General features: G+C 49.9%; 1 protein-coding gene across 3 annotated transcripts in view, besides 3 other annotated features; it reads left to right on the top strand.

Annotated features, from left to right (window-relative positions):
* HSPA12A (heat shock protein family A (Hsp70) member 12A) overlaps positions 1-14,368 on the top strand; it is a 179,556-nt gene that overhangs the window by 61,950 nt on the left and 103,238 nt on the right. The window lies entirely within an intron of this gene.
* Positions 3,834-4,000: a silencer, noted in NCBI's record as "fragment chr10:118544309-118544475 (GRCh37/hg19 assembly coordinates)". NCBI's record gives its function as "represses an EF-1alpha promoter that drives an FKBP-Casp9 reporter gene in an ReSE screen in HepG2 liver carcinoma cells {active_cell/tissue: HepG2}" and the evidence as "EXISTENCE:reporter gene assay evidence [ECO:0000049][PMID:32094911]".
* Positions 8,904-10,103: an enhancer, noted in NCBI's record as "CDK7 strongly-dependent group 2 enhancer chr10:118538206-118539405 (GRCh37/hg19 assembly coordinates)". NCBI's record gives its function as "activates an origin of replication core promoter dependent on BRD2, BRD4, P300/CBP, MED14 and CDK7 cofactors, with strong dependence on CDK7, by STARR-seq in HCT116 cells {active_cell/tissue: HCT116}" and the evidence as "EXISTENCE:reporter gene assay evidence [ECO:0000049][PMID:35650434]".
* Positions 13,423-13,922: an enhancer, noted in NCBI's record as "H3K4me1 hESC enhancer chr10:118534387-118534886 (GRCh37/hg19 assembly coordinates)". NCBI's record gives its function as "activates a minimal SCP1, AML or CMV promoter by ChIP-STARR-seq in primed H9 embryonic stem cells {active_cell/tissue: H9 hESC(primed)}" and the evidence as "EXISTENCE:reporter gene assay evidence [ECO:0000049][PMID:30033119]".

Below are 14,368 nucleotides of genomic sequence, written 5' to 3'. Positions count from 1 at the left end.
TTCTCTCATTTATGTGAGTTTATCTGTGGGTATATTTTCACACGTATAACTTTTTCAATTGAAAATATTAAAAATGATGATGTAGCATGTATTATTGTGCAGATACCCACAATATATAATTAAGAGAAAAAAATCAGGCTACAAAATTGGGTGTGTTGCACAGTCCCATTGCTATCCATTTGCATGTATCTCTGTGTATGTGTTGATAGAGTCTGGAAGGATACTCACCAAAATGCTAGCAAGAGCTACAGATCACAGCCTGGTGACTGTAGGTGTCTCTTTTTCCTAGTGCTTTTCATTATTGTTTTTTTAGAATGAGAATATGTATTTTGCAAGGGGAGAAACAAGCTATTGTATTTTGGGAGAAGAGTTAGTTGGGAACCAGTTTGCGAACTATATTTAAAATATGAATTTTGCGTTTGCATCTGTGCTTTTCTTACTGAGTACTTGTTTTCGCTTCGGTATTAAATGGTACTTTTTTCTTCTCCCGTTTGGAACACTCAAGCGTGGGCCCGCCTATGGACCTGGGCGCAGTTCACCAGCTCCACCACCAGAGGGCGGCGTTTGCAGGATGTTGTGCGCACGGCCGCCTCCCGCCGTTTGCGGGGGTCTAGAATTTTGCAGGATGTGCTTTGGTCGGCTCGGCCAGAGTAGAGACAGGATGTACGCGCGTTGGTTTCCAGTTGGTGCTGTGACACAGATATTTTTCCTTCCTCTGCTTTTAGCGTAGCATCTGAATTTAACGGCGTTGCGTGGAGGTGGCACGAGGGAGGGATTGGCTTGCAGAGCTCCCGCCCTGCCGTCCTGGAAGCCCTCCTATCCCCGACCCTCAGGCCAAGTCACTGTCCCCAACTTCCACCATAGACCAAGCAGACTCCTACCTTCAGAGTCTGACCTGATTCCAGGGGATTTAGGGTGCCCCCACGCTGAAGCCAGTTTGGAGGCTTCACTCGCACCCCTCCATGACCAGGCACTCCACTTCTTAGTCCTTGTGCCAAGCGGCTGCCAGGCACTCTCTTCCCTTCTTTCCTCTTCTTTTCACCTTCTGAAGTTTTTGGAAAAAGCAGTGCATATTAATAATAACAATTCAAACAACACAAAAGGGGGAAGCAAGTGAAAACTAAGCTCCCCGCCTCCCACCCTAGCCCCACTTCTTCCCCAAAGGCCATAATTGTTAAGAGGTTTTGGAAAAGTATATCCTTCCAGAAATTCTAGATGCATATAAAAATACAGACGCCTGTACGTTCAAAACCACACCCTCCACTCAGTTTCTCGTTTGCATTTAGCAATGACGCTGAAAGCCTCCCACATCACTTCACAGAAGGCGCCTGTGGTTTTTTTTTTTTTTTTTTTTTTTGCTGGCTAGAGAGTATTCTAGTATGTGGATGTGACATGCTTGATTTGACATTTGGGCACTTTCCAATCTTGTGCTTATTAGGAGCAGTGGGCAGTAAATATCCTCTATACACAGCTTTAAGCACCAATGCAAGAGCTGCTGTTGACTAAATTATTAAGAGTGGAATTGCTGGTCAGAGGGTAGAGGCCCTTCTAGCTTTGGTATTTCCAGATTGCTCTGCAAAGGACTTTTAAACCAGGCCGCACTCCCACCCAGAATGCATGAGATCCCATGGACGTTTTTGCCCTTGGTTGATCTGACAGGTTGCTGGTTCTCAATCTTGACTGCAGTCAGAATGACCTGGGGAGCTTTCTAAATATGCCAACACGACAGTATCCCAGACCAATTAAAGCAGAATCTGACCGTGTGTGTGTGAGTGCGTGCGTGTGTGTATGTGTGTGTGTGTGTGTGTGTGTGTCCGGGAGGTGATTGGGCATTGGCACTTAAAACATGTCCCCAGGAGGCTGGGTGCAGTGGCTCCTACCTGTAATCCCAGCACTATGAGAGGCTGACGCAGGTGGATCACCTGAGGTCAGGAGTTCGAGACCAGTCTGGCCAACATGGCAAAACTCTGTCTCTACTAAAAATACAAAAATTAGCTGGACGTGGTGGTGGGCACCTGTAATCCCAGCTACTCAGGAGGCTGAGGCATGAGAATTGCTTGAACCTGGGAGGCAGAGGTTGCAGCGAGCCAAGATTGAGCCACTGCACTTCAGCCTGGGTGACAGAGCCAGACTCTGTCTCAATAAATAAATAAATAAATAATTCCCCAGGAGATTCTAATAGGCAGCTACAGATGAACGCCACTGAGACAGATGAGAAAAATATACCATTTAAATGTACATTTCTTGAATTATAAATGAGAACGAACATTTTTCTGTGAGAACAATGCTTTAGACATTTCTTAGATCATGGATCCCTTTGAGATTCTGACAAAAGCACTAGATCTTTTTTTTCTTTTTTTTTCAGGAAAATGTGCACACACGCACCTGTGCCTCTACCTGAGGGGCCATAGGCCCTGGAGCTGCTCCCTAGACCTCCCTAGAGTCCTGAGCCCAGGCTAGGGGCAAGGCGGAGTTGTTCTGCGCAGCCTGTTTCCCCACCAAATTACCAAAAATATAGTTAAACTTAGGAATTCAGTTTGATCCATAACATAAACAGTCTATTTTAAGAAGTATTTACCACTGTGTCTCAGCCCCTGGGAGCCCTGCCTTCCATGCAACCCCACTGCTGAGATTTGCTGAGAGTCTCTTCTGCAGAACCCGCTCCATCTCCTGCGTAATTACCCGAGAGGCTCCACGTGGGGCTTCTCTGGCGCTAACCTCATAGGTGAACCTCATGAAGCTACAAAGATTCCCAGTGCACAGGTGGGCGTTAGATCAGCAAAGGCCTCATGACGGGTGCAGGAGTCGGGATGTCTCCCAGGGCCACAAAGAGATGTAAGCAGGGGAGGATGCTAGACCACTCAGGCAGAGTCTGAGTAGGCCATGGGGTGGGCCTGCAGTCTAAGGTGAGGGGAGGGGGGGAAATAGGAGGAATCTTGCGGTATTAGGGCAGTGGGGCAGGAGGGCTCAGCGGGGAAAGGCAGAGTCAAGTGGGTGCCTGGCTTCTGGCTGGGATAACCGGTGGATGGCTGAGACCATTCCCTGGGAGGGAGGGGGTGACAGCAGATGCCAGTGCTCAGAGGGCAGGTGGATATTTGGGGTAGTGTGTGTGTGTCTGTCCGAGAGGAAGAGAGAGGGATCATGAACAGCAGCATGCGGTGGGCAGCAGAGCCCGAGTGTGCGTTCCCCCAAGGCTGGGGAGTGAGCTGGGCTTTATGAGTGGGCACCTGCTGACCCCTGCATTGAGGTGGAGGCTTAGAGGGAGAACCAGGGAGGCAGGCGGGGATCTGGGTGGGGGACAGCCGTCCTGGGGCTGGGGTCAGGCAAGAACATTTCTGTCACAATGCCCTGATGCCATGCTCTGCTGGTGGCCAGGACTGCTCTCAGCTCCCACATCTTGATCTCTGTCCCCGGGCTGCCATGTCCACTGGCAGGCCTGGGTCGGGGCCGTTCCTCCTTCCTCCACAGCAGCACTAGGCTGTGGTGGCCAGAACGTTCCCGAACAAGACATCAGTCCTTGCCTGTGTTCCAGAATTCATACTCCTCCTTCCCACTACCTGAGGCTTTGGACATTTGAATGATGGTGGCGGTGGGTGGGAGGGGGAGGAAAGGAATCTGAGAGTGGACATGCAGGGGTCAAGCCCCAAAGCCATCTCAGAGCAGGGCACAATGAGGGTTTCCAGGACGCCCCTCCCAAAGGCTGGGAAATGTCTCCTCTGGAATCCAAGCTCCAGAGCCTCTTGTTGGTCCTCAACTTGTTATTAGGGCCTGAGGTGCTTCATGATGCCAAGAAAAGAGGAACACAGCAGGGCCTAGAACCAGCAGGACTGGGGCCTCTCTGGTTTCTCCTGTTGGCTCCTGCCTAGGAGCAGCTGCCTCCCTGTCTGCTGTTGTAGACACGTGCCCTCAGCATCTCCAGCCCAGACTGACAGCTCCGAGGTTAGCGTTACAGGCTCAACCCCAGACGGAGAGGCTCTGTCTATGTTGATTTCTATTTATCCCATCTAGTCCAAAGATCCCAGGGAAGGGATTCATTGACCCAGCTCAGCCAGGGACTCATTCCTCAGCCAGTCAGCTGGGGCCGGAAGCACAAGTCCCCAACTGCAAGGGCAACACGTGGAGGGAACGGGAAGGAGCAACTCTTGCTAAAGGGACGCTAGGCAGACAACTTCATAAATGTCAATCATAAGCCAATCTTAAAGGCATTCACTCATTCCTGCACTCATCCATTCATTCATTCATTCATTCCCTCAACAAACCTTTATTGAGCACCTACAGAGTCCAGGTACCACTCTAAGTGCTAGGCTTACTGAAATGAACAGGACAGATGAACTTCTTGCTCTAGTGGAGCTTACACGCTAATAGGAAGATAAACCAATAAACGAGAAAGTGACCAGGATGTGAAAAATGCTCTGCAGAACAGAGAAATCAGGCAATGGACTTTGGAAAGTGCTCAAAGACCCTGCGCTGCCACTTGCAGGGCAAGGGGCCACCTAGGTCAGGAGCGGCCTGCCTTGGAGAGACATGCATCACCCCAGCCACTGCCCATTGGCCAGAGCAAGTCACAAGGCCCCAGCCTAGCCACAAGGGAAGCTGGGAAATGTGACTTTTGTGTGTCCAGGAAGAGGAAATGGGATTGGCAAGCACATGGCCAGTCATGGCTGTCCCACTTAGCCATCTGGTTCCCTAAGAGGTCAACACTGCAACCAGGTCCTGATGTGTCCTTCCAGTGAGATCTTTTGGATACATAAGAAAAAAATAGATGTAATTATGTAATTTTAAAAACCATAAATGGGCTGGGCATGGTGGCTCATACCTGTAATCCTAGCACTTTGGGAAGCTGAGGTGGGTGGATCACTGGAGGTCAAGAGTTCAAGACCGTACTGGCCAACATGGTGAAACCCTGTCTCTACTAAAAATACAAAAAAGTAGCTGGGCGTGGTGGCACATGCCTGTAGTCCCAGCTACTCGGGAAGCTGAGGCAGGAGAATCGCTTGAACCTGGGAGGCAGAGGTTGCAGTGAGCCATTGCACTCCAGCCTGGGCAAGAGAGTGAGACTCTGTCTCAAAAAATACCCATAAATGGTGGTATACTAACACACCATTCTGTTCCTTGCTCTTTTTTCCCCCCACTTAAGACTATATCACAGACAACATTGGAGGATTTGGATCTGGGCAAGAATGTGCCCCAGTTTATGTGTTACAAAACTCACCCTGGCTAGCGGGAGAGAGTGGACTGGGGTGGGGACGGTGGGTCAGGACTGTTGCAGCTGCTGCAGTTGACGGCTGTAGCTCTTTGTCCGTGTGCAGCCTGTGCTCCAGCCAAGTCCACCCACACGCTCATTCATTCAGTGCTTGACAGTCAATAATCGTGGGCAGACCCTGGGCCACATGAGTCAGGCTCTGTCCCTCTTCCCACTCACTGTGCCCCGAGCCATACTGCTGCACACTTTGCCAGGGCACAGGCCACCTTCTGCCATCCAGGCTCCTCTGCCACTGACTCCTCCAAATTCTTCCAGACATGTCTCCAACGTCACCTCCTCATCAAAGCCTCTCCTGATCCCCACAGCACCACGTCGATGGTGTGGAAAGAGGGACCTGGACTGGAGGTGTCTCAGCCCCAGCCCTTCCCATTGGCACTTCCTGGAGAAACAGCTTAGTCTTTCAGAGCCTCAGTTTGCCCATCTGTGCGCTGGACGTGATTGGTATCTGTTTAACACATTGCCTGTGTGGATTACGTGGGAAAGGCTGTGGAGAGACCTGGCATCTGAGTGGCAGGAGACATTTGTCATTTCCCTTCTTTCGCCTTGGGGCCCACCATGTTCTCTGCCTCTCTGAGGTTACTTCTAAGGCTTCCAGTACCCTCCGTGAGGGTGACCCTGTGTCCTGGGCTTGGTATGTTGCCAGGCATCAGGCCTGGGAGTCAGTCTCAGTGTCTACTCAGCGATTTTGTTGAAACTGAGAGTCCACCACCCAGCTTAAGACGTAGAACATTGTTGGCACCTGTGAATCTACTTGCACAAGCCTTGGTGATCCTGTCCTCTTCCCTGACCAGGCAGCCCCTACCCTGAATAGCATCTCATTTATTCCCTTGTTTTTAAAAAGCAGTTGATAGCATGTCTATGAGCCCTACCTGAATAGTCTGTTTAGTTTTGCTTGGTTTTTATGACAATAGTGTCACACAGGAGGCATTTTTTTGTGACTTGCTTTTTCTTTTGCTCCACATTACAACTCTAAGCATCATCCTTGTTGCTGGGTGTACCTGTAGTTCATTCCTTTGCAATGTTAGGTAATGTTCCACCCGGGACTATGCCACAATTTATTTATCCATTCTTCAGTCAAAGGACAACTCCCTCTCCCGATTTTGGTTGTTACAAAAAGCGCTGCTATCAGCCTTGTCATATACGCAGGCTTGGGCACAGGCACTAGGCTATGCTAGTGGGGTTGCTGTGTCAAAGCTCACGTATCTTCAGCTTTTCAGAGATTGCCAAATTTCCAAAACAGTCGAATAAGCCTCTTTCTAGCTTTGTGTAAAGATCCCCGGTGCTCACCCACTTCCTCACCAACCCTTGGGATAGTCACATTTCTGAGTTTTGTCCATCTAGTGAGCACAAAATCTCATCTTATGGTCTCACTTTGTGTTTTCTTGGTCACAGCTGAGGTTGAGCATCTCTGCGAACGTCTCTTTGCCCTTCTTGTGGGCCTCTTTTGTGACATGCCTGACCATTGTTCTCCCTCATTTTTGTATTGGGTTGTTTTTTGAAATTGACTTGTAGGAGTTTTTATGCATCCTGGATACTAGCCCTTTGTCACTCACAGGTGTAAGGAATATTATCTCCCAGTTTGAGACTTCCTTTTTACTGTCTTTTGATGAATGTTATGATCTTAATTTTAACCTGGTAGAATGAATCAGTCTTCTCCTTTACTGTTTGCATGTTTGAAGACTTGTTTTAAGAAATGCTTTGTTTGTTGAGTCAGATTGAATAGCTGGACCCAAGGAGGACACCCCCTACCCAACCTCAGAAAAGGCAGAGCCCACAGCAGACCCTCAGGCACTCGGTGTAGCTGACAGCTGAGAGATTGATTAAAAACTGGAGTGAGGCAAGAGAATGAAGGAGAGAGGCCGAGTGCTTTGAATTTGATCCTTTTAGCGACAATTAAGCAATCACCACACCACGGATGGGCAGAGAAAAAGGCTTCCTGAGAAACCGACACAGGCTGTGGCAGAGGCTGCCCTTGGCCTCACCTTGGACCCAGGGCTGTGGGGCTCCTGCACCACCCCTCCCCACTCCTCCCCTTCAGTTTTTATTGCAACATTTCATTGAGACAAGTGCTTCCCCCAGGGGTAAACTAGAGAGCCAGAGGACCATCTGAGAATGTACAGGGTGAAATCACTGAGGCCTGACCGAGCGGCATTCATCATCATCATCATCATCATCATTGGCACTGATTGGGGAGTAGAGAGAGTGAATCCAGAGGAAATCCATTTTTTTTTTTCTGTTTTCTTTTAAGAGGCAGGGTCTCACTCTATTGCCCAGGCTGCAGTGCAAGTTTCACTGCACCCTCGGCCTCCTGGGCTCAAGAGATCTTCCTGGCTCAACCTCCCAAGTAGCTGGGACTACAGGCATGTGCCACCATGCCAGGCTAATTTTAAAAAGTTTCTTTTTTGTAGAGACAGGGGTCTCACTAGGTAACACTTAGTCTCAAAATGGATGCCAAGGCAACATAAAATTTTTGAACTCCTGGCCTCAAGCGACCCTCTCACCTTGGCCTCCCAAAGTGCTGAGATTACAGGCATGAATCACTGCACCCAGCCAGGATGGGGCTAGGAGTGAAAGGGTCAGTGAACTTGAATAGGCAAAAGTTTATGTCCTTATTTTCATTAATCTCTGGCTGAAATGTAGCATTACTTTCAGTTATAAATGTAGAGGACAAACCAAACAATGTTAGCAATGCCTGTGACTCGTCACCCATAGAAATCACAGAGAGTTTTACATCCTATTACTTTGCTTGTAGATATTTTGAAATATCCACTTAAAAATTATGATTGTTATATAATTCTACTAGATCCTTGTTATTCAATGTTTTAATGAAGAAGCACGCATCATAATTTTTAAAAGGATTTGATAATCGTATTAACAAATAATTAGGTTCCCTGGTAATCCTACCTGGTTTATTTTATGCATTTAAAAACATTATTTTCCAGTCTGGGTAACATAGGTAGACACCATATCTACGAAAAATAAAATAAAATAAAATAAAATAAAATAAATCAAAAAATTAGCTGGGTGTGGTGGTGCGTACCTGTGCTCCCAGCCACTCAGGAGGCTGAGGTGGGAGGATCACTCGAGTGTGGGAGGTGGAGGCTGCAGTGAGTGGTGACTGCACCTCTGCACTCCAGCCTGGGTGACAGAGAGAGACCTTGTCTCAAAATAATAATAATTATTATATAATAAAATAAAAATAAATAAAAATATTGTTCTGAGGAGGGCTCTATAGATTTCCTCAGGTGACCGAAGAGTCCATGAAACAGGAAGGTTAAGAATTGGACTCAAGGGAGAGCCCTCTTCCTACAGGGAAGACACACCAACTCTTGTGATCTTAGACTAGCTCCAGGTATGGTGGAGGATGGAGGAGATGGTCTGCGACAGTGCCCTGCAGCTATGCAGGGAGTGACTGCTGTTCCTTGTTGCTGGGCAGTCCCTGTGGATGAACGGGATCTTTGCCCTTCGCGTGAGAAGGACGCAGTGCCCAAACAGCTTGCTCTGGCGGAATTAGTGGTCTCTGACTCGTGGCTGGCCTGGGTGCCTGCCTCCTCTAGGTAGGTCGAAGCTCCTTCAGGGCCGGCCAGCCCTTGTCCATGTTCTAGGGGAAGGGTGGCTGCAGTCCCCTAGGGAGTGGTGCCATGGGCCCACATGGAGTCGGGGTGCGGGGACGGAGTGCACTCAGAGCTCCAAGCCCTTAGGAATCCCGTCCCCCCTGCTAGCTCCTCTTTACACACACCCACCCTGTTTTCCCTTCACATTGGGCTTCGTGCCATTCCCCAACATGCCCAGCGTTATTCGGTTTCTGGAACTTCCTTCACCTCTCCCACCTGCCTGGGTGTCAATCAGGATAGACATAGCAAAGCTTGGGAGCAAATGACCCCCAGATTCCATCGCGGGCTGGCAGCAACACTGTTCCTGTTGTCTTTGTTCGGGCCTGGGGCTGACAGAGTAGCCTCCACCTGCAACCTTCCCTGTCTCCTGGCAAAGGGACAGAATATACTGACCAGGCAGAGTGTCACTGCCCTCATGTCTCATCAGGCAGAGTCACGTGGCCACACCCGAGTCCAGCAGAGCAGGAGTGCGATGTGGTTCTCTCTGAGGGAGGGGCCACAGCCCTGAGGTGCCCCACCCTCATCTCCCCAACCGTGTCAGGGTGATTCTGTCCCCATTGAAGATTCACCCAGGCCCCACTGGCCCTGGTCTCCTCAGTAGGTGCTTGTCTCCCCTCCCTGCTACTCTTGTGTTTGGGGTGGGCACCCGGATCAGCTTCGATCTAGCTTGCACTGGACCTTCCGTGTTGGCAGTGACTCATTACACCCACATGTCCCCCTTGGAGTTCAGCCACGATGTGTCGCTCACGATGTTGCGAAGGGAAGCAACTGCCGATGAAGGCCCTGGAGGGCTTGGAAACCACGTGCCTTGAGTGATGGCACTTGGTTGGAGAATCAAAGAAGGATGTTTTGTTGCCTAACTTGAAAGGAGCTAACTGACCTATATCAGGCATCAGGATTAAAGACCTGTGTGACCCAAGGGCAGACAGACCCTTCCACTCTGCCATGGACTTCTTTCTGTTTCTGGGTTTGTTGTTGTTGTTGTTTTGAGACAGGGTCGTTCCATCTCCCCACTGCGAGTGCAATGGTGCAGTCACAGCTCACTGCAGCCTCAGCGTCCTGGGCTCTAGCGATCCTCCTGCCTCAGCCTTCTGAGTAGCTAGGACCATAGGCACATGCTACCATGCCCAGCTAATTTATTTTATTTTGTTTTATTTTTCATAGCGGGTCCCATCATGCCATCCAAGCTGGTCTCACCATGTTGCCCACCACACTGTTCTCAAAGTTTTGGGCTCAAGCGATCCTCCTGCCTTGGCCTCCCAACATGCTGGGATTTATAGGCTTGAGCCTCCATGCCCAGCCTGGACTTTCTGATGAAGCCAGGCTTGGGTTGTGGGAATTATGGGGAATGTGCTGACAGGAATGACTACACAAAGCTTCAGCCAAAGTGCAGCTCCTTTTGAAGGAGCCTGAGCTCCTTCAGGAGCAATGTGGTTCTCTCTGAGGGAGGGACCACAGCCCTGAGGTGTGCCACCCTCATCTCCCCATCCGTGTCAGGGCGATTCTGCCTGCTTTGAAGAACTGCTTCCTTCTCTGACCTTTCTGTGTAAGGTCGGCTGTTAGAGCACCAGCTGGAGGTTTTGGGGGGAATAGTCAGTGCCCAGTCATCCTTTGGTGAATTAACTGCATTGGGCAAAATTAAGTGCATTCATGAAAGAAAAAACCTACTAGCAATCAGCAAAAACATATGCATATTTAAATAATATATTGCTTGGAAATGTCAAGTAACCATCTTGGGACTAGTGTCAGGGCATGTACCTCCCCTTTCCCAAGCTGCTGTGGCCAACCAAGGCCCCCCCAATGATGTGCGGCTCCTCCTGAGAACCAGTTGTTAAATTTGCAGGGATTTTGTGGGCCAGTTGTTAAGCACAGCCATTATTAAGAGTTAAATAACAGGCTGGGTGCAGTGGCTCGTGTCTGTAATCCCAGCACTTTGGGAGGTTGAGGCGGGCGGATCATGAGGTCAGGAGTTTGAGACCAGCCCAGCCAACATGGTGAAACTCCGTCTCTACTAAAAATACAAAAATTAGCTGGGCATGTTGGCACATGCCTGTAATCCCAGCTCCTTGGGAGGCTGACACAGGAGAATCGCTTGAACCCAGGAGGTGGAGATTGCAGTGAGCTGAGATTGCGCCACTGTACTCCAGCCTGGGTGACAGAGTGAGACTCCGTCTCAAAACAAAACAAACTCAGCATTTTCTAATTGTTTTTGTGCATCTGATCTGACTATTGTCGATGCACTTAAGCTTATTTGTGTCTGTTGCAGCTCTGGGATGGAAACGTAGTGGCGTGCGTCTCTTTACAACTCCGTATTCGGTGACATCATGTGGGTAGCTGAAAATCAGCCATGGTGGGGATATGTACACCTGGGAAGTCCACACATGTCCCTGTCTGGTCTGGGCACGAGGAGGCCTGAGTGGCAGGCTCTTGGGAACTGGGTGTGAGGGTGGAGGCACCAGGTGGGGCAGGAAGGAGGAGGAAGAGGCCAGCAGCAGCTGCTCTGTGGCTCCGTCCACCTGAGGACTAATGTTTGAAAACTGCAGAATTTGCAAAGAAACTCATAGCAATAATTATTCTAAAAGATACTGTTTTAAGTCATTTCTTTTATTATTTAGATTATTTTGGTTGCTTGTCAGTGTGACAGGCCATGCCTGAGCTGTCCATGTAAAGTTCCCAAGGGGCATAAATGGGAGACTGCAGTGCAGCCTCAGATGTGGGGGGACCACCCAGTGCCACGCGGCAAGAACTTAACACCCGGGTGTTGACGAGGCAGGGAAGAAAAGGGGCGCATCTGCAGCTCAGCGCCCCTCCAGCCTGGCTGGCGTCTCACACTACTCATGTCAGAGAACAATTCAGCGGGCTACACAGGAGCCATGGTCCACCCAGGAGCTTTCTTACAACCTCCTTCCCCTGTGCATTGCTTCCTTGATGCTTCTGCAGTAAATCAAATTAAAAGCAAACTTGAACCAAGTCCAGGTTGTCAATATCTCCCATTCTCGAACCTAGTCCAGATTCCTGGTACAGACATTAAGCATCTTATATGATGCCTCACATCCCTAAATTATCATATTTGCATCAAACTTTTAAGGATATACATCTAAAATACATTCTGAAATAGTGTTTATGATTCTAATTAAGATTACATTAAGCCCAGTTTTTAGAGTTTTAAGCATTGTATATGGAGTTAACAATTAAGAAAATAAAACTCATGTATTTTTAATTGCTCTTATATTTTGATGCTCTGTGGCATCCACTGAATCAATGGCTTGAGTACTTCAGGGAAGCGGTGGATTCTGCTACAATAATAAATTCGTTGTTCACTTTGACGATCAAATTAGGCTTTCCATTTTGTTTTGTCTTCTAGGCAAAACAATAGTCTTGAATGCCGGGTTTTGTTAAGAAAAAAAAAATTTTCTGAATTCCAAAGCTTCTTTCTAAATATAAGGAATCAATCCCGGCTGATTTTGAGCGTAGAGTTTTACTGTAAGCCATAAATAGAAGGAATTCTGGATACAATGGAAGTGAGTTCCTGGGAGACAGGAAGGCAGAGGAGAAAGCACTATGCTTTGCCTGGGAGAGGTTTGTTGGGGGTGAGACCAGCGGGAGGAAGCGGCCAAGAGCTGGAGGCTGCTTTGAGCGAAATCCCGAGGCAGAGGGGGGCGTCCAGGCGGACGGACCTGAGATGCTCCTTGTTGTCCACCCATGACACCTGCCTGTGTCCCACAGGAGTCCCAGGGGTGGGCCACAGAGGTGCTGAGGCAGGGAGGGGGTGAGGTGGTCACCCAAAACAGGGACCTGGGAACCAGGAGCAGTGGCACTTGTCTTGGGTACTGGGGGGCAGTCAGCTCAGTGGACAGAGACCAATGGGATGGGTCACTTAACTGGAGGCCAGAGGGGACGCAGAGGATGGCAGGTAGACCCAAAGCCCCTCACTCACCACCAACGTGAGGCCACATTAACTTCTTTTATGGCACTCAGCTGCCCCCAGTCTAGTCCCTGGTGGAGTCACATAAGAGAGTCTGTGCCAGGCTGGGGACCACAGTAGAAGGCATAGCTCCCCAGCTGCAGGAGCCCTCACAAGACCCCAGGGACAGAGAGGTCATAGGGGCTGCAGGATTAGGCCAGGTCACTGTCTCGGGGAGGAGTTGGGAAAGGGCTTGAAAGCCCCCTGTTACTTCTGTGCCCTGATGTCCCCAAATCCTCTGGCCCCCTGGCCTGAGTGTTTCCTTTAGCAAGCAAATGAAATGGCCCCAGCACCTTCCCAGCATCCGAGCACTGAGGAAAGTCAGGGCTCACCCAGCACTCCTGTGGGGAGAGGCGGGAGGTCCTTCTTCCATCCCCTCTCATCGGGTGCCCTGAAAGTCAGTATCACGAGGCTGTCAGTGGGAACAGACAGAACTGACCAGGAAACAAACTTCACGGTCAATGTTAGATTTCCTGTTTCTAGAAAATACATTGGCCATTTCCAGCTACAGAGACTCCCTTCCCAGGCTGCCCACTGGCTGGCCCCCGTCCTCCCCAGGGCTCTCTAGAAGAGACAGTGTGGGGTGACAGAGAGAGCTGGCTTTGCAACCGGACAGGCAGGAGTTCAAATCCCAGGCTCCCGTCTCACTGGCTATGTGGCCCTGTGTGACCCTGGGATCTTTCCTTCCTGAGTCTCAATTCATCCATCTGTAAAATGGGAGTCCTGAGGCCCTATCCATAGGTTTGTGAGTGGTGGGATAACTGATATAAGGAACTCGCACGTTCTTAGTACAGAATCAGCACTTGGTAAATGGCAGCAATTGCTGCTATTGGCTTCTGGCCCAATCCCTTGGGGGCACCTGTGCCAGGTGTCTGGGAGGACACTAATAAAGAGTGACTCAGCAGAGACAGCCACAGGATGGGCGGGAGGGAGCAAAGGAATGCTGGAGTCCCCCAAAGCAGCACAGTTGGGAGCAGTGGCGGTGGGTGTGTAGCAGTCGACCTGGGGCCCTTGGGGAGGGAGTGGAGTGACAGGATGCCAGCTGGACCTATGCCATGGCAGTATAGCCAACACGAGGGGCTGGTGCAGGAGCCGGCAGGACTGGGGCCTGCAGGGGCCAGGGTGGAGGGCTCCAGGCTTGTGCAGCCTGCAGGGTCAGGGTGGAGTCAGGCCAGGGCCACGTGGGCAGGCATGGGACTGGGGGAGGAGCTTATTCAATGGTGGACCTGGGTTTTCTGGTGGGTGAATGAAGGGGTGCACAGAAGGCCTCCCTCTCAATGTCCCACTCTCCAATCCTTTCTCCTAAGAGATGGATCTGGGCCATGAACTCCTGCTCCAAAAGGCCAGTCCTCTAGCAGAGCCACGTCTGTGAAGAGACCCAAGAGCACCATTGACATTTCTTTATTCCAGGGGTTCTCACACTTTGGCAAGAGTGTGAGATGTGCAGTTGCTGGGCCCTACCCAGAGTCTCTGGGTCAGTAGATCTGCCTTGGGGCCTGAGAATTTGCATTTCTATTAAGTGCCCAA

The sequence above is a fragment of the Homo sapiens genome, chromosome 10, assembly GCF_000001405.40.
Source record: "Homo sapiens chromosome 10, GRCh38.p14 Primary Assembly".
Taxonomy (NCBI): domain Eukaryota; kingdom Metazoa; phylum Chordata; class Mammalia; order Primates; family Hominidae; genus Homo; species Homo sapiens.
Note: the sequence above shows the minus strand (reverse complement) of the source record. Positions and strands in the feature narration are given on the sequence as shown.